Source organism: Homo sapiens, chromosome 1 (genome assembly GCF_000001405.40).
Source record: "Homo sapiens chromosome 1, GRCh38.p14 Primary Assembly".
Taxonomy (NCBI): Eukaryota; Metazoa; Chordata; class Mammalia; order Primates; family Hominidae; genus Homo; species Homo sapiens.
This window is the reverse complement of record NC_000001.11, coordinates 171,117,853-171,135,725: the sequence shown is the minus strand read 5'-3', so window position 1 is coordinate 171,135,725 and position 17,873 is coordinate 171,117,853. Positions and strand designations below refer to the sequence as shown.

Sequence of the window (17,873 nt, the reverse complement as noted above, 5' to 3'; positions counted from 1 at the left end):
ATCCCTTCAACATTTTACAAATCTCTTAATTTCCTGCATACACCTCAGTGTATTAAGAAATTAAGAGATTTGTAAAATGTCAGCTTTTCAAAGACAGAAAATATAATTTTCTGAAAGGGTTGGAAACTTTTCCATCAGCATCATGGGGAGGAGGAGTGGAAGCATAAGGCGATATAGGAGAAAAGCCTCATGCTTGCCTTCCAGGACCTCAGGCTTCTCCTAGCTGCAGGTTCAGCTGAAGGTAATACTGAAAAGATTACAGCTGAAAGTAAAGTCCAAGGTTTTGATTATCACATATGATGGGATCTATTTTCCGGATTGAGACTGCATTTGTGATTTAATGAGATCACAGAAAGTCCTGTTACTCAAAAATGATCAGGAAAATCAGACCTTGTGGATCTCCTGCCTCCCCCTGCATTCTCATAGCTTGGCAGTGTCTTTAGAGCTATAAGAAGGTGGTATCCCAGGTACTTAATCAACTAAAAGATGAAGTCCCTGGAGTTATTTGATAGGCCAAAGTGAGCAAGATCATGAAACAAGGGGAGAACATTGTCCACAGTGTCTTCTTCTTCTTCAGCGCCAGCAGTTCTCTACTGGTGAACCATCTTCAGGCTGACCCTGAGTACTATGGAGGACCCAGGAGGAAGAGATATGTTAAGGCCAGGGATAAAGGTGATCATTTCCAGAGCTTCTCTACCTCCCCCTCAGCTGGGAATCTACCTCTCTGTGGCCTTTCCATGTCTCCTTGTACTTAAAGTTCCATGCTTTTCTCTTAAAGCTCAGGGCTCTATAGGTCATACCACTGAGGCTTGCAGCCCCTAATGGTTCACACTAGCCACTCCAAGAACAGGATTAAGAATAGACTGAGATTAATGAACATCTTCAGAATGCTGACACGTATTTCAAAGTGCTTTTCATTTATTTTCTTCCATTAACCTTGTGAGGCAGGTATTATTATTCTCAATATACTAATGAAAAACTGAACTGTTCAAATTTGCTAAGCCAGCAAAAATTGATGACTTGATGCTATGTTTTTTCCAATACCCTATAAATGGGAATAGTGAGAAGACATACTTTAGAGAGTATGAAGAAGATACTCTTACTTTAGAGAGTATGGAACCTTCAGAGGGTTATTCAACAAGTATTAATCGAGCATTTACTGCATGCCAGGCATTGTTTGCAATGTTACAGATACAGTGGCAACAAAAAAGGACAGAGTACCGTCTCCTAGGAAGCTAAGTTCTAGTGCAGACTCTGGGACATGGTATGTAAAATGCTTCAGACTGCCTCACAGTCAGGAAATGATGGGGGAAAATACCACTAAAAATAATCACTTTAGAATGTGCATTCACTGGGTGCCAGGCACTAAACTAAGCACTTTAGACACATTATGTTATTTGTTTTCAAAAGTACCTTATAAGGCAAGTATTACTGTGGCCATTTTTCTGAAGAAAGACTGGGGCTTAGCAGGTTAACCTGGCACAATTATACAACTAAGATGTGGCAGGACTGTGAAGATGTGCTGCCTCCCCTTAAGAGAAAGAAAAGAAAAGGAAAAGAAAAGGAATTATTATGTACCAAATATTTAATAGGTATCAGTCACAGCATTAGGCCAGATAGATGAGAGGAAGACACATACATTGTTAACTATGCTACAGTTTTGACCATGATTCACATAGTAACAGAGTCTTAAAAGGGGCTATTTAAACCTAGAAGGGTGAGAAATTTACTCTGTGGGAGGGGACTGGAGGAAGATTTGCATTTTCATCAGTGTTTGAGAAAGGACTTTGAAGAATGAAGAAAAATGTGTGGTTTGAAATGGGTGGAAAGTGTTGTCAGCTACAGGGACCATGGGAGCAAGAGCACATACCCAAGAGAGTGCACACGGAAAGTTGGGCAGAGTGCAGAATGCAAACCATGAGGTAAGGTGTATGACAAATAAAAACTGCGTATATTTAAGGCACAAAACATGGTATATATATATATCTCCCCATTGTGAAATGATAAGCTATTTAACATACTTATCACCTCACATAGTTACCATTATTTTTGAGTGAGAACATTTAAGATCTACTCTTTTAGCAAATTTGAAGCATACAATACAGTATTTTAACCATAGTCACCATATTGTACATTACATCTCCAGAACATATTCATCCTGCATGACTGAAACTTTGTACCATTTGACCAAGATTACTCAATTTCCCCCACCCTCAAGCCCCTGGAAATCACCCTACTACTCTTTGCTTCTGTGAGTTTATCTTTTGTAGATTCTGCACGTAAGTGAGAATGATCAGTATTTGTCTTTCTGGGCCTAGGTTAATTTCACATAGCAAAATGTCTGTCAGGTTCATCCATATTGTTGCAACAAGATGTTTTCCATTTTTAAGCCTGAATAATATTCCACTGTAGTTAAGTGCCACATTTTCTTTATCCATTTGTTGATAAATGCTTAGGTTGATTCTATATTTTGGTCATTGTGAATAATTTTGCAGTGAACATGGGAGTGCAGACATGTCTTTGACTTACTGATTTCATGTCCTGTGGATATATACCCAGAGGTAGGATTGCAGAATCATATGGTAGTTCTATTCTACTTTTTTGAGGAACCTTCATACTGTTTCCCATAATGGCTATTCTAATTTACATTCCCATCAACAGCATTCAAGGATTCCCTTTACTCCACATCCTCACCAACACTTGTTATCTTTCATCTTTTTGATAATAGCCATCCTAATAGGTGTGAGGTGATATCTTGTTGTTTTGATTAGCATTTTCCTGATGATTAGTGATGTTGGGCATTTTTTCATATGGCCATTTCTTTTTTAGATGTTTATTCAGGTCCTTTACCCATTTTAAAATCCGGTTATTTGTTTTCTTGCTGTTGACATGTTTACGTTTCTTATATATTTTGATATTAACCCCGTATCACATGCATGGTTTGCAAATCTTTTCTGTCATTCTATAGGTTGTCTCTTCACTATGTTGTTTCCTTTCCTGTATAGAAGCCTTTTATTTTGAAGCAGTCACATTTGTCTCTTTTTGCTTTTGTTGCCTATGGTTTTGGGGTTATATCTGAAAAAATCATTGCCCAGACAAATCTCAAAAAGCTTTGTCTCTATGTTTTTATTTTCAGTAGTTTTACAGTTTCATGATTTATATACATGTTATACTTACAGTTTAAGTCTTTAATATATTTTGAGTTAATTTTTGCATATTGTGTGAGCTAAGGGTCCAATTTCATTCTTTTGCATGTGGATATCCAATTTTTTCCAACACCATTTATTGAAGAAACTATCCTTTTCTCATTGTGTGTCCTTGGCACTTTTGTCAAAGATTAGTTGGTTGTATATGTGTGGGTAATTACGTGGCTCTCTATACTGTTTCATTGGTCTGTGTCTGTTTTGGTGCCAGTACATTACTGTTTTGAATACTATAGCTTTGTAATATATTTTGAAATCAGGTAGTCTGATGATTCCAGCTTTGTTCTTTTTGCTCAAGATTGCTTTGGCTATCTGGGATATTTTTGGTTCCATATAAATTTTAGGAATGTTTTTTCATATTTGTGTGAAAAATGCTATTTATATTTTGAAAGGGATTGCATTAAATATGTAAATTGCTTTGGATTATATGGACATTTTAACAATATTAATTAATGAACACAAAATATCTTTGCATTCTTTTGTGTCTTCCTCAATTGCCTTAAAGACTATAGTTTTAAATGTCCAGATGTTTCACCTTATTGGCTAATTGTATTCCTAAGTATTTTTTCTTTTTGATGCTATTGTAAATGGAATTTCTTTCTTAATTTCTTTTTTGGATAGTTTGTTGTTGGTGTATGGAAATGCAATCCATTTTTTAGTGTTGATTTTGTATCCTGCAACTTTACTGAATGTGTTTATTAGTTATAAAAGTTTTTGGTGAAGTCTTTAGGGCTTTCTATATAAAATATGATGTCAACTGTAAATAAAGGCAATTTACCATTTTCATTTCTGATTTGATTTTTTTTTCTCTTGCTTGATTGTCTGGCTAGGACTTTCAGTTCTACATTGAATAGAAGGGGTGAGAGTTAGCTTTCTTGTTTTTTTTCTGATCTTAAAAGAAAAGCTTTCAGCTTTTTACTATTTTGCATGAAGTTAGCTGTAAGCTTATCATATATGGTCTTATTATATTGAGGTACATTTGTTGTATATGTAAATGTTGAGAATTTTCATCTTGAAAGGATGCTGAATTGTCAAACACTTTCTCTGCATCAATTGAGATTATCTTCTTTTTTGTCTTTCTTTTTGTTAATTTGATGTATTACATTTACTGATTTGCATATGTTAAACCTTCCTTCTATCCCAAGGATAAATCCCACTTGGTCATAATGTATAATCATTTTAATGTGTTGTAAACTCAGTTTGCTAGCATTTTGTTGAGGATTTTTGCATCTATGTTCATTAGGGATATTGGCCTAGAATTTTCTTTTCTTACAGTATCCTTGTCTGGTTTTGTTTTGAAGATAACACTGGCCTCATAAAATGAGTTTGATTTCCTCTGGTTCAATTTTTTGGAAGAGTTTAAGAGGGATTGATATTATTTATTTGAATGTTTTCTAGAATTTAGCTATGAAGTCATCTTTTCCTGGGCTTTTTTTCTTTATTTTGTTTATTTATTTTTTATTTTTGAGACTGGGTCTATCTCTGTTTCCTAGGCTGCAGTGCAATGAGGCTATCTCTGCTCACCACAACCTCCATATCCCTGGCTCAAGCTATTCCTCCCACCTCAGCCTCCTGAGTAGCTGGGACTACCAGTGCACAGCACCTCACCTGGCTAATTTTGTATTTTTTGTAGAGACGGGGTTTTACCATGTTTCCGGCTGGTCTCAAACTCCTGGGCTCAAGCAATCCACCTACCTCAGACTCCCAAAGTGCTGGGATTACAGGCATGAGCCACCATGTCCAGCCTGGTCCTGGGCTTTTCTTTATTGGAAGATTTTAAATTACTACTTAAATTTTTTTGTTTATATGTTCAGGCTTTTTATTTCTTCTTGACTCAGTTTTGGTTTGTTTTCTGTTTCTAGGAATTCATATATTTCCTCTAGGTTATTCAATTTGTTGGTATATAATTGTTCATAATAGTCCCCTATGATCTTTTTTGTTTCTGAGGCATCTGTATAATGTCTCTTCTTTCATTTATTTTAAAATGTAGGCATTTATCTCTGTAAGCTTTGCTCTTAGAACTGATTTTGCTGCGTCCCTCAGTTTTGGTATTTTTTTTTCTCTCAAGATATTTTAAAATGTTCTTTTTGATTTCTTCTTTGTCCTAGTCATTGTTCAGGAGAATATTATTTAATTTACATGTATTTGTAAATTTTCCAAAGTTCTTTCTGTCATCGATTTCTGATTTAATACCATGTGGTCAGTAAAGATACTTGATATGATTTCAGTATTCTTAAATTTGTGAAGACTTGTTTTGTGGCCTAACATATTATCTATCCTGGAGAATAGTTTATGTGCACTTGAGACAAATGTGGGCTCATAGGTGAAAGGGATTCATTTCCAGATAAGACATTGGACTTGAGACTCGGAACTTGGGACTTTTAAGTTAATACTAGAATGAGTTAAGACTTTGGGGACTATTGGAAGGGATAATTATATTTTGCAATGTGAGAAGGACATGAGATTTGGGGGCTAGGGGTGGAATGATGTAGTTTGGGTGTTTGTGCCCTCCAAATCTTATGTTGAAATGTAATCCCCAATATTGGAAGTGGGGCCTGGTGGGAGATGTTTGGATCATGGGGCCATATTGCTCATGAATGGCTTATTGCCATTCCCTTGGTGATGAGTAAGTTCTTGCTCTGATAGTTCACTCAAGATCTGAGTGGCACCTCCTCTCTTTCTCTCTTGCTCGCCCTCTGGCCGTGTAACATGCTTGCTTTCCTTCAGTTTCTGCCGTAATTGCAAGTTTCCCAAGGTCCTTACCAAAGACAGATGCTGGCACTATGCTTCCTATACAACCTGAAGAACTGTGAGTGAAAAATAAAACCTCTTTTCTTTATAAATCACCCAGCATCAGGTATTCCTTTATAGGAATGCAAGAACAGACTAACACATCACATATAGTATTCTTGATTGGCATTTTATTTTTCTTTCAGCATGTTGAGTATATCATTCCATTTTTGCCTACAAAGTTTCTACTGAGAAATCTACTGATTGTTTTATGAGTGTTCTCTTGTATGTGATGAATCACTTTTTTCTTGGTGCCTTTAAAATTCTGTCTTTTGACTTTTATGAATTTGATTATGTGTCACAGTGAAGATCTCTTTATGTTTAATCTAACTGAATTCTTTGGGATTTATGGATTTGGATGTTTAGCTCCCTTTCTAGATTTGGAAAGTCTGCTATCATTATTTCTTTATATAAGCTTTCTACCTCTATTTCTTGGTTCTTTGTGGGGCTCCCATAATGCGTATATTGGTTGACTTGATGGTTTCCCATTTGTCTTGTAGACTTTCTTTACTATCTGTCATTCTTTTTTCTGTTTCTCTCACTGGGTAATTTCAACTGATCTGTCTTAAAGTTTGCTGATTTTTTTTTTTCTGCTTGATCAAGTCTGCTGTTGAAGTTCTCTGTTGAATCTTTCAGTTCTGTAATTGTGTTTTGCAGCTCCAGAATTTTTTTGTGTGTTTTTTGAATGGTTTCTATCTCTTTGTTAAACTTATCATTTTGTTTATTTTTCCCCTGATTTCATTTAATTGCCTATCTGTGTTCTATTTTAGCTCACTGGACTTCTTGAAGACAATTATTTTAAATTCTTTTTCAGGAAGTTTGTAGATCTTCATTTCTTTAGTGTTGGTTTACTGGTGCTTTATTCTGTTCCTTTGGTGGTGTCACATTTCCCAGATTATTTGTAATCTTGTGGTCTTGAACTGCTGTCTGCAGATTTTAAAAAGTAAGGACCTCTTCTAGTTGTTAGAGACAGGTTTTGGCAGGGAGATCCCTTTACAGTCAGACTGGGCAGAGATTCTTGGCAGTCTGACATGCAAGGTCCATGACAGGTTTGCTACTGAAGTCCTCAGGTGAGCTGGCTTGGTGCCTAAGTTAGCAGATGAACAGGTCTGATGCCTAGGTTCACAAAGGTCAACTTGATGCATAGGTCCATGGGAAAGACTTGGAGCCTGGGTCCATTGGGCTTGGCCTGAAGCTGCAGCCATGTGGACAGTCCTGGTGCTTGCATCCACAGGGGCCAGCAGGGTTTGTGGTCCACTGGGGTGGGCTTAGTGACTGTCCATGGGGGTGCGCTTGAAGCTTATGTCTACGGGAGCTATCCTGGCATTGGGGCAGTTCTTAGGCCCAAGTCCACAGGGGCTGGCCTGGTACCGGGGTGGGCCTAAAACCTGGGTTCTCAGTGGTCAGTCTGGTGTCTGGGGCCATGAGGGCTGCTGCCCTTAAATCTCAGGCAGGCCTGGAAAACTGGGTTCGCAGGAGTTATCCTGCAGCCTGGGACCATTAGATATGGCCTGACACCTGGTTAAGCCTGGAGCCTGGGACTGTGAGGACTCACCTGGCACTGGGGTTTAGTAGTGCAGGCCTGGTAATAGGGTCCAGAGCAAAGTTGCCTACTCATTTTCTTCTCCTTACTTAAATGGAGGGCATCTGTCTCCATACTGTGTTGCCTAGGCTTGGGGGAGAGGTGATACAGGTAGTGTGAAACTGTCCCTCCTATCCTCTTCTATGTGTTTTTTCTTATTTCTGTGCCCCATTCAGGTGCTGTAATCTCTCACCTGGATTCCTTAGGTCTTGTGCAGGTATTTTTGTTGTGGATGGTTATTAAAATTGATATTACTGTGAGAGAATGAGCACTGAAAATTCCGATTCCACCAGCTGACATTCTGTAGTGTTTTCTTATTAACAACACGGAAAAGTGATTAAATTCATCTGCCAGGGAATTTTAGGCTCTCTGGTACCTTGGGATTTGGAACAGACTTTATTTCTTACCACAGGCATGCTAAGAGCCATTCTTCCTTTGTTCTGAATATAATATGCTATGTTTATCTTTTCAAGCAAGTCTATGTAAATACATTTTTTGGTCATTACTACTGGTTGCAAAACACATTCTCTACATTTGTTGTGTTATGGGAACAGCTTCAGGTTTGGATCCACTTAAATCTTTCTTTTGACATGGTCAAGGGGAGGAGTGAAGGAAGACAATGAATTAGATGCTGAGAAGTTTTCCAAGTTTGAGATTAGGTTAATCACCGTAAAAAGAAGATATTTTATTTTGTTTCCTCAAATGGCATTACTGTTTAATCAAAGCATTCCCATATGCAGAATCCCCTATTGTCATTCAAGTCTGACTTCCTGGACTGACATTCAATTCAGTTAAATTTATTCACTAACTAATCATTTATTTTCACACACACATACACACACACATACATACATGATGTATTATACTCTAGGTCCAGTTCTAAGCACTGGGGATTCAGCAGTGAACAAGTTCAACAACTAGCTATAGAGAAGTCAGAGGCAATATGGAAATAAATGAAACACTGTTCCAGCATTCATTGATTTTTTTCTAATATGTATGTTTTTGTGTCTGGAGAAGAATGACAATGAAGAGGGGAGAGATTAAGACAGCTATAGGGATACCTGTAGTACAGGGCAAAATACAAGTGACACCAAAAAGCATCTAAGTTGCTGTAGAGATTCTAAGGAGAGAGAAAAACACATATATAGAGAGTAAATTAAGAAAGCCTCAAACGAGGAGGATTTAAACCCATTTGAGATGGGTTTAAAGAAGGCTTCCTGATTAAGTTACTTTCTCTCAACTTCAGACATGTTCTTTTACGCTGTGCTTTATGTTGCTGGGGCTGGGACTTTGCAAACTTCATTCCCCTTCGTTCCTTCCTGGTTGCTTCCTGTTCCTGTTAGTATTGTTGCAGAAAAAGGTCTTCACCTCTGCAGCCATGCTGGTGCTGTAGCTACTTCCGATTTATAGTTGTTCCCAAACTCCTAGAACAAGTTTCTTCATGTGACTTCAGGGAGAGCAACACCAGCCAGCTGGCACCCTCTTCAGAGATGAGATTCCAGCTCTGCAAGTTCCTCCTAAGCCTCTAAGTTTTAATAATTCCAACCTGTTTCTGTTTTCTCTTCAGGCATAGGAGAGGCAACTCCTTCTATAGAAACTATCTGTGTGATACTCTGAGTTCTCTTTTCGCCTTTAAGACTCTCTGATACCTTGCTAATGCTTTTAAATATTATATTTGTATTAGTCCATTTTCACACTGCTGATAAAGACATACCAGAGACTGGGCAATTTACAAAAGAAAGAAATTTATTGGACTTATAGTTCCACGTGTCTGGGAAGGCCTCAAAATCATGGCAGAAGGTGAAAGGCACATCTCTCATGGCAGCAGACAAGAGAAGAGAGCTTGTGCAGGGAAGCTCCCCTCTTTAAAACCATCAGATCTCATGAGACTTATTCACTATCACGAGAACAGCACAGGAAAGACCTGCTTCCATGATTCAATTACCTCCCGCTGGGTCCTGCCCACAACACGTGGGAATTCAAGATGAGATTTGGGTGGGGACACAGCAAAACTATATCAATATTCTCTATGTTGAAACTATTGTTAAGGTTTCTCTTTCCTGAAAGCACCCTAACTGATACAGAAGTTGGTGCCAGGAATGGTCCAAGAAAATGGACACTTAAAAATAAGATATTGGGATTGGTTTGGTCATGTCCTTGGACTTGAATGCAGTGCTGACCTCCTTAAAAATTGAGAATCGTGATACAGTAATCCATGCAAGCAATGGCATCACAATTAACCACATTATCACCTCTATTTGATTGTGAGGAAGTACCTACTGAAGCAAGTCCCTTGGTGGGGCAGGGTGGGGGTGGGGCAGACGACAAGTGGCTGCTACATTTACCTGCATGATGGCAATAATGACCACAAGATCAAGGGTAGGGATGGTAACTTCTGAGTGCACTGAAGCACTTAAGAAAGAAGATGACAGGCACAGGTTTTTCAACTCTCGGCTCAAGTCATGCCAGACAGCCAGAGTGCTCCTGTGGTGGATTTAAAATAATATTATTTCTTGCAACAAAGGTTCAACTTGTCTGAAAATCAGAACAAATTTTAATTTTGCAGGTTTCAGAATGACAACTTATGCTGAATACCCAGCCTCAGCAAGTCTTTTAATGAAGCTGAGAATCTCAAACCTTCGAATCACTTTGAGCTTCTCTTTCTAGTGGAAGCAGCCCACCATCCCAAGTCTGAGGATGTTTAAAAATCCTGTAATAACCTCACTGGTGGCAATTGCTTTGCAAAAGGATGGCTATTCTCAAGAAGTACCCCAATCCAGCCTTTGCTGCCATTAGATTCATGACTAGAGTTAGATCTCAGCATGCTTCTGGGAACAGGTACAAAGTCTGACCCCAAAGGAAAGAATTTAGATTTAAGACGGGTTTAAAAAACGCCTGGATTTCAGGCATTTTTCTATGGTTATATATATATTTCATGTATAACCATAAATATATACATGAAGGTGGGTTTATTCAGGGAGAAAACTCTAAATAGTATAGTTTGTCTGGAACATAGTTACAAATAAGACTGGAAAAGTAGCTTTAGTCATATTGGGAGGCCCCTTGTATGAGATTTAAATGGGGAGAAAGAAGAACCAGTAAAGAATTGTATGCACGTGTAATGTGTTTTAGAGGCTCACTTCAGGAAGATGATTCTGGCAGTAGTATACAGGATAAACTATGACAGGGAAACTAAAGTCTAGCTGGCCAGTTAGAGGCCTATTCCAACAGACTAAGAAATTATGATAGCTGGGAGTGGGGTGGTATGTTCCATGTACTCGGGAGGCTCAGATGGGAGGACTGCTTGAGCCCAGGAGTTCCAGGCCAGCCTGGACAACATAACAAAAACCTGCCTCTAAAAAAACCGAAACAAAACATGAACAAAAAATTAAAAAACAAACCAGGCAGCAAAAGCAAAATAGACAAATAATACTATATCAAAATTAAAAAAAATAATGATAGCCAGATCTAATTTGCCAGAGTGGGAATTATAAGATGGAAAGAGGCAAAAGAGATAGAGAAAGTAGACTTTATAGAACCTATCCTTAGATTGCAAGTGGGGATTCAAGCCAGGGGAAGAGAGAATGAGGCTGAAATATTGAGTCTGGGTATGGGTAGCATAAAAATGAGAGAGAGAGAGAAGAAATGATGAAATGAATTGGTCGAAGGCACAGTGGGGTGGGAACAAGCATTGAAGATGCCAAAAAGGAGCATTCTGCTGATTTAGAATGAGATCTTACTGGGATAAAATAGAAGGAATTGCAGCTGGATTTCTGCACTAGAGATTAGGGAAATATAGAACTTCAGAATATTGATAAATTGACTAGAAATCCATCAGGTTTGGGGCTGATACACTGTAAGCAATATAGTTTCAGTAGCTTAAGAAAAAGTACACCTGGGACTCAAAGGGAGTTGGTAACCACTGGCCTCACATGTTTCCTGGGTTGCTTTGGTTTGCAACTAGAGGACTGGACTAGACAACTTTTAAGGCCATTTGTTTTCTATTATTCTATGTCATGATATGTTCTCTATTAATTTTAATTTTAATTTTTTTTTGAGACGGAGTCTTGCTCTGTCACCAGGCTGGAGTGCAGTGGCACGATCTCAGCTCACTGCAACCTCTGCCTCCCGTGTTCAAGCAATTCTCCTGCCTCAGCCAACTGAATAGCTGGGACTACAGGTGCCCGCCACCACATCTGGCTATTTTTTGTATTTTTAGTAGAGGCAAGGTTTCACCATGTTGGCCAGGATGGTCTTGATCTCTTGACCTCGTCATCCACCTGCCTCGGCCTCCCAAAGTGCTGGGATTATAGGCGTGAGCCACTGTGTTTGGCCCGTGTATTTTTAAATAGACTGTTTTCCCCTGATAGAATGTGACTTTCTTAAAAGTGGGATTATTTTAATATAATTTCCTGTTAAATCTCCAGGTCCTAGAATATACCCTAGTACATAACTAGTACAAAAACTGTTGGTAGAAAGCATGAATTCTGTTTGCCCTTTACTATTATCATTTTTATGGAAACTTTTGCCCTGGAAAACATGATAATTATTCTGGAGCTGAAAAACTGTGCTGTGATTTGGATATACTTTGCTTGGCCCTATCAAGTCTCAGGTTGACATTTGATCCCAATGTTGGAGGTGGGTCCTGGTGGGAGGTATTTGGATCTTGAGGGTGGACCTCTCATGAACTGCTTGGTGTCATCCTCACAGGAGTGAGTTCTCACTCTTAGTTCTGTGAGAATTGGTTGTTAAAAAGAGTCTGATGCCTCCTCCTCTCTCTACTGCTTCCTGCCTTACCATGTAATTTCTGCACACATCAGTTCCCCTTTCCCTTCCATCATGAGTGGAAGCAGCCTGAGGCCCTCATCAGAAGCAGATACTAGTGCAATGCTTTTGTACAGCCTGCAGAACCATGAGCCAAAGAAACCTTTTTTCTTTATAAATTATCCAGCCTCAGATATTCCTTTATAGCAGGACATATGGGCTGAGACACAGTGGCACTGGAAAGCTATTTGCAGTAGAGCAGCAGTCTAAAAATAAGCAGATCATGTGACCCCCACTATTATTTGTCTGTTTTATGTTCCACAGGAAGAAAACTGCTTGAAAACAGGCTGGGGGAACAACATAAAACACTGACAGGAGTTGTGTTATCTGACAGGATGCAAATTACACAGTGAAATTTAGATAACCATTTGCCATTATCTTGCTGGAAAATTTTCAAAAGTTTAACATTTATCTTTGAAGGCTCTGAGCTGAAATTCATAGCTCAGAGCCCCTCTTTAATTTACTCAAGCTTGGGAGAGGAGATTTAATAATTGCCAGTTGTGCCTTCACACAGAAGCACATTTTCACCTAAACACAGAGAAATTTCAGTCTGCTGAGTTTGCTGTTCCTGATCACTAAGCCAATCCAAACTAAGGCGAAAGGTGAACAATTGTCAGCTGCAGGGCCTGGAATTAGTTTTCCTTTGGTAATATTGGTATCTGGTATAAACTCTGCACCTGTTCCCTCACCAATCCTTTGGTAAATCCTACTGGGCTGGCTCCTTCTGGTGGTCATGAGAAGTTGCAGATCTCCAACTACAGGGAGCATAATTGACCAATGGACCCAAACTACAGGGAGCATAATTGACCAATGGACCCAAGCTGCTCATTGAATGCTGTCTTTGAACTGAGGCTGTACTTGTTCAGGCTATTCCCAGCCAATGACTGAGTATGGCAGAGATACCTAGGCAGGCCTCTGCCTTATAGACACAGGGCTCTTCTGATGCCCAACTTTGTTCAGGCATTCCCCTGCAGCTTTGCCAAACCATTCCTAGACTGCTTGGCAGTCTGGAATGTTTTCACCCAACTCTCCTCCCCTCACTTCTTCGCTTGGGGTCATACTTGCATCCCTGTCTGACAGCTCTCCCTGTCTTTTCCAGCTCCTTTCCTATTATCTTTCACAGGTATTCTCCTGATCAATTCCTTGCATGTTTAGTCGTATGTTGTCATATGCTCCTTGGAGGACCTTTCTTAGAGAATATACCCATGCTCTATGACTTGACTTATTGGAGCCTTATTCTGATCTCCAGGCCACTTGATTGGGACTCTGGTAGTCTGTCTGGTTCTTAGGAGTATCCCTTACCTGTAACTAGGAGCTAAATCTTTTCTTCATGTCATTTACTTCTGGCTGGAGTCTTATTCCACCAATGTATGGGCTATCTAGAATGACATTGGTCTTCTGGAACCATTTGTAAGATTTTGACTCTTGTTACAATTGAGGAACTCATCTTGTCCTCATTGTAGCTATGACCGAGAAACCAAGGAACTCACTATCTTGTCCTCTTGGATGCCAGCTATAAATTGAATCAAGTTGGACACCGGAATTTTGACCACTTTCCACCTTTCTATCGTGGTCAGGTAAGTTGCATAAGCCTGTGATATGCATGATTTTGGACTTTGTTCCTTTTCACACTGGCCTACAGTTGAGGTACCAGATTCTCATACATCAATAATTAAAGTAGTAATCACTTATATGAGATGTTGAAATGTACTCCCTTCAAGAAAGGTGACATTTTCAGCTGTTTTCTTAATGGGAAAACATTATTAGTGGGAGCAAACTACAGATCCTTCAATGAGATTAGTGTGAAAGCAGAAGAAATGTGAAGGCAGTGGCTATTTGAGTGACATGAAAATATTCTAAGGGGCACAAAAGCAGAAAGGGAAAGCCGGTAACTTCACAGAAATCTCATTGCCTCCATAGTTTTTCCCAACATCAGGAAGTGCCTTTCTACAAACCTGTGGCATGAACTTAACAGAAAGAATTGAAATTTCTACTTGTTGGATAACTACACAGTTACACAACAAACAAGAGGCTATACATTTCCATGTGGAGACTAATATTACAACTTAATCCTTTTGGCAATCAGAGATGGGCAATTATGTTTCCAACTTAGAAAGCTTTCTATTTTCAGGGCTTTCTTCATACTTAAATCTGGTAACCAAGCCTATGAAAAGAAGTTTTAAATACAGCAGGTATAAATGTCTGTAGGAAAAGGCTTGAGCAGTGTAGGTACCATCTCAGAATTATAAGAGGGTGGACAGAACTTCTTTTGTTAAATACTATTATCTTAACCCAAGAGAACTGTCAATAGAGAGCTGAGTTTCTGGATTATGGGTGCTTCCCTCCTATGTCTTAAGATTAGCCAGCAGCATGCAAGGAATTGGAAGCATGTCCTCACATGACACAGCAAGAAGGGTGACAAGATCCTATTTGCGTTTGAAAAAGTTTACTCTTGCTGCTGCATACAAAATGGAATGTTAAGATGCAAGAATGGAATCAAGAAGGAGGCTCTTAGAATAATGGGTAAGAGTTAATGGTGGCTTTGACCTGAGTGGAGGCTGTGGAGGTAGACAGAAGTGAGAACATTTGCTGATGCTGTAGGTAGGGGAATGGTGAGGTGTTATGGATGGACTTGTGTCACTCTCAAATTTATATATTGAAGTTCTAACCCCTAGTACTTCAGAATGTTACTATATTTGAAGACAGCATTCTTAAAAAGGCTATTAAGTTAAAATGAGGTCATAGGGTTGTCCCTAATCCAATATAATAGGTTTCTTCATGAGAAGAGGAGATTCGGTCACAGGCATGTACAGAAGAAGACTGTGTGAAGACACAGAAGAAGTTATCTACAAACCAACGAGAGAGGCTTCAGAAGAAACCAACATTGTTGACACCCTGATCTTGGATTTCTAGACTCAGGAATTATGAGAAAATAAATTTTTATTGTTTAAGCCACCCAGTCTGTGGTACTTTCTTATGGCATCCCTGGCTAATGAATACAGGAGGCAGCTAAAGGAATTGAGGATTATGCCTAGTTTTGTGGCTTGAGAAATGGGGTATTTAGAGGTCTCATTACCAGGACGAGTAAGATTGAGGAAAGAACATGTTTGGAATCTATATGGGAATGTTGGTGGTGGGAAAAACTGAGAGGTAAATGTAGTAGTTTATGTGTGGGATGCCTATGCACATGCAAGAAAAGATATCAAGGAGGCAATGGTATGTGCAAATCTGGAAATTTTATAAATTCTTATGCAGATGACTTAAATAAATAAATTTGAACCCTGTCATCTATTCTCAATCCCTTCTGGATTTCAACCAAAAGGGCTGTTATATGGGGCTAGCATCATATATCAATGTCAGTAAGTTAGATTGTCCATTACTTTGTATTGAATGGAACTATGTGCTGCATGATTTCTGTGTCTCTAAAAGTCAACAGACCTTGGGCAGACACAGAAGTTTAAATGTCACCCTGAAAAACCACTCTAAATTAGGAGGCAGTTGCGACATTCTAAACAAATTTAGTAGATTACATATCATGAGATATGGCTTTGGGTTCAAACTCTACCCTTTTTAGATTAGTGTTCTTGGATCATAATCTCTGAGACTTAGATTTTTCGTTCATTTTATAGTGAATCTCATTAGGGCTACTTCACTTGACTTAGGGTATTTTTGGAATTTTCAGGGTGAGTTTTTTTGTTGCATGATTGAGGAGTTCTAGTTATTAGAAGCTCTGTGAAGTCCTGCAAAATGATTTGACACAAAGCCTTCTTGGATGTGTACTTACAGTTGCACAACTTGAAAATATTCTGTACATTACAAGTGGGGTTATAGTCACACACACACGCACACATTTAACACATTTGTGTATTAATTTTACTTCAGGACTGTAAAGTGTTACAAAATTCTAGCTATTAAAAGAGGGCATTGCACCAAGTTATGTTGTGTTGAGAACCACTGACCTATAATATCTTTTTATTGCCTTTATTATTTTGAATGGACACATAATTATACAATTTATGGGGCACAGTGTGATATTTTGATGCATGTATATCATGAATAGTGATCAAATCAGGGTAACTAGCATATCCATCACCTCAACCATTTATCATTTCTTTGTACATGGATAAAGAAAATGTGGTGTATCCATTTGTCTGTTGACAAACACTTAGGTTTGGCCATTGTGAATAGTACTGCAATAACCATGGGAGTGCTTTCATATTGCTTTCCTTTCAATATGATATATATCTATATATCTATATATCTATATCTATATATATATACACTCACATACACACATATGGGGGATATAGAAATGGAAGAAAGAAAGAAGATCACATTTTTACCTAACGCTTTCTTCTTTTCTATTGTTACTTTCTTTATATTTTTATCTTTGAAGCTCAGATTTATCATAAATGTTGTATACAATTTTAAATATTTTCCTTTTCCTAATTGTTTGTGGTAGCAAAGTAACATTCTGCTTTTAAGGTCTTCTTACCAGATGTGAAATATTCCCAAGTATTCCCAAATGAAGCAAAACTTTTCTTGAAAACCTGTGCCCTAAATAGAATCAAGTAACTAAAAATTAAACACAGCCCATAAAAATTTTTTGCTTCATGTTATAAATGCCAGTACAAAAAATAAATAGAAGATTAAGTTGCTATAATCCAATTTTTAATAGCCTTTTTTTTGTATGATGCAATGGTTTGAATGTTTTTCTCTCCAGATCTCATGTTGAAAACTAATCCTCAATGCAGCAGTATTGAAAGGTGAGGCCTTTAAGAGGTGATTGGGTTATGAGGACTCTGCTTAAATAAATTGAAGCATCATTTATGGATTAATGAATTAGTGGATTATCACAGGAATGGGACTGGTGGACCTTTAAGAGGAATATATATACACACACATATATATTTGTTCCATTGATCTAAGTTGGAAGGGAAGGTTTAGTAAGAAATACGTAGTATAATAACTAACTGGTGGAGCCCTCTGATGACTGATGATTCTGGCAGGTGATTTTATCTGCTCTATAATGTCAAAATTTAAAAATCATAATTATGAAAATTTTAACTATAAAATGTAATACACTATAAAATACAGTTTTAGATTTATTCTGGTACCTCGTAAGTTTATTGGGGTAGACTATATAAGACTATAAATCTTTAATCTATAAGCATTAGATTTTGGTCACAGTTTTGGCTAAATATTTAATTTTTAAAAGATTAAGCTAAAAGGTGTATTATTTGGTACTACACTCATTGCTATTGCTATTATTCTTTTGCTGCTAGAAGTTGAAAAGTTTGTTTCCTTATTGAGAATATAAATAAAACAAATTACTTTGTGTTAACTTTCAATATAGACCAGGTCTTTATGCTATGTTTCTTGGGCAGAGAAGAGGAGGTCTTACCTGGATTATGTTGCACAAAACAAACAAATGAAAAATAATGTAATAGCCAAGCTCCCCCCTTGACCCTGCA

The 17,873-nt window shown here is 38.2% G+C and overlaps 1 long non-coding RNA gene across 2 annotated transcripts in view; it reads left to right on the top strand.

The window, feature by feature from the left end:
* FMO1-AS1 (FMO1 antisense RNA 1) overlaps positions 1–15,354 on the top strand; it is a 131,518-nt gene extending 116,164 nt beyond the window's left edge. Inside the window, exons 4-5 of one of the 2 annotated variants that reach the window (XR_922278.4) lie at positions 13,863–13,976; positions 15,170–15,354. This is a non-coding gene — a long non-coding RNA (FMO1 antisense RNA 1). Of the gene's footprint in view, positions 1–13,862 lie in introns of both variants that reach the window. The other variant, XR_001738291.3, reaches the window with a different exon arrangement.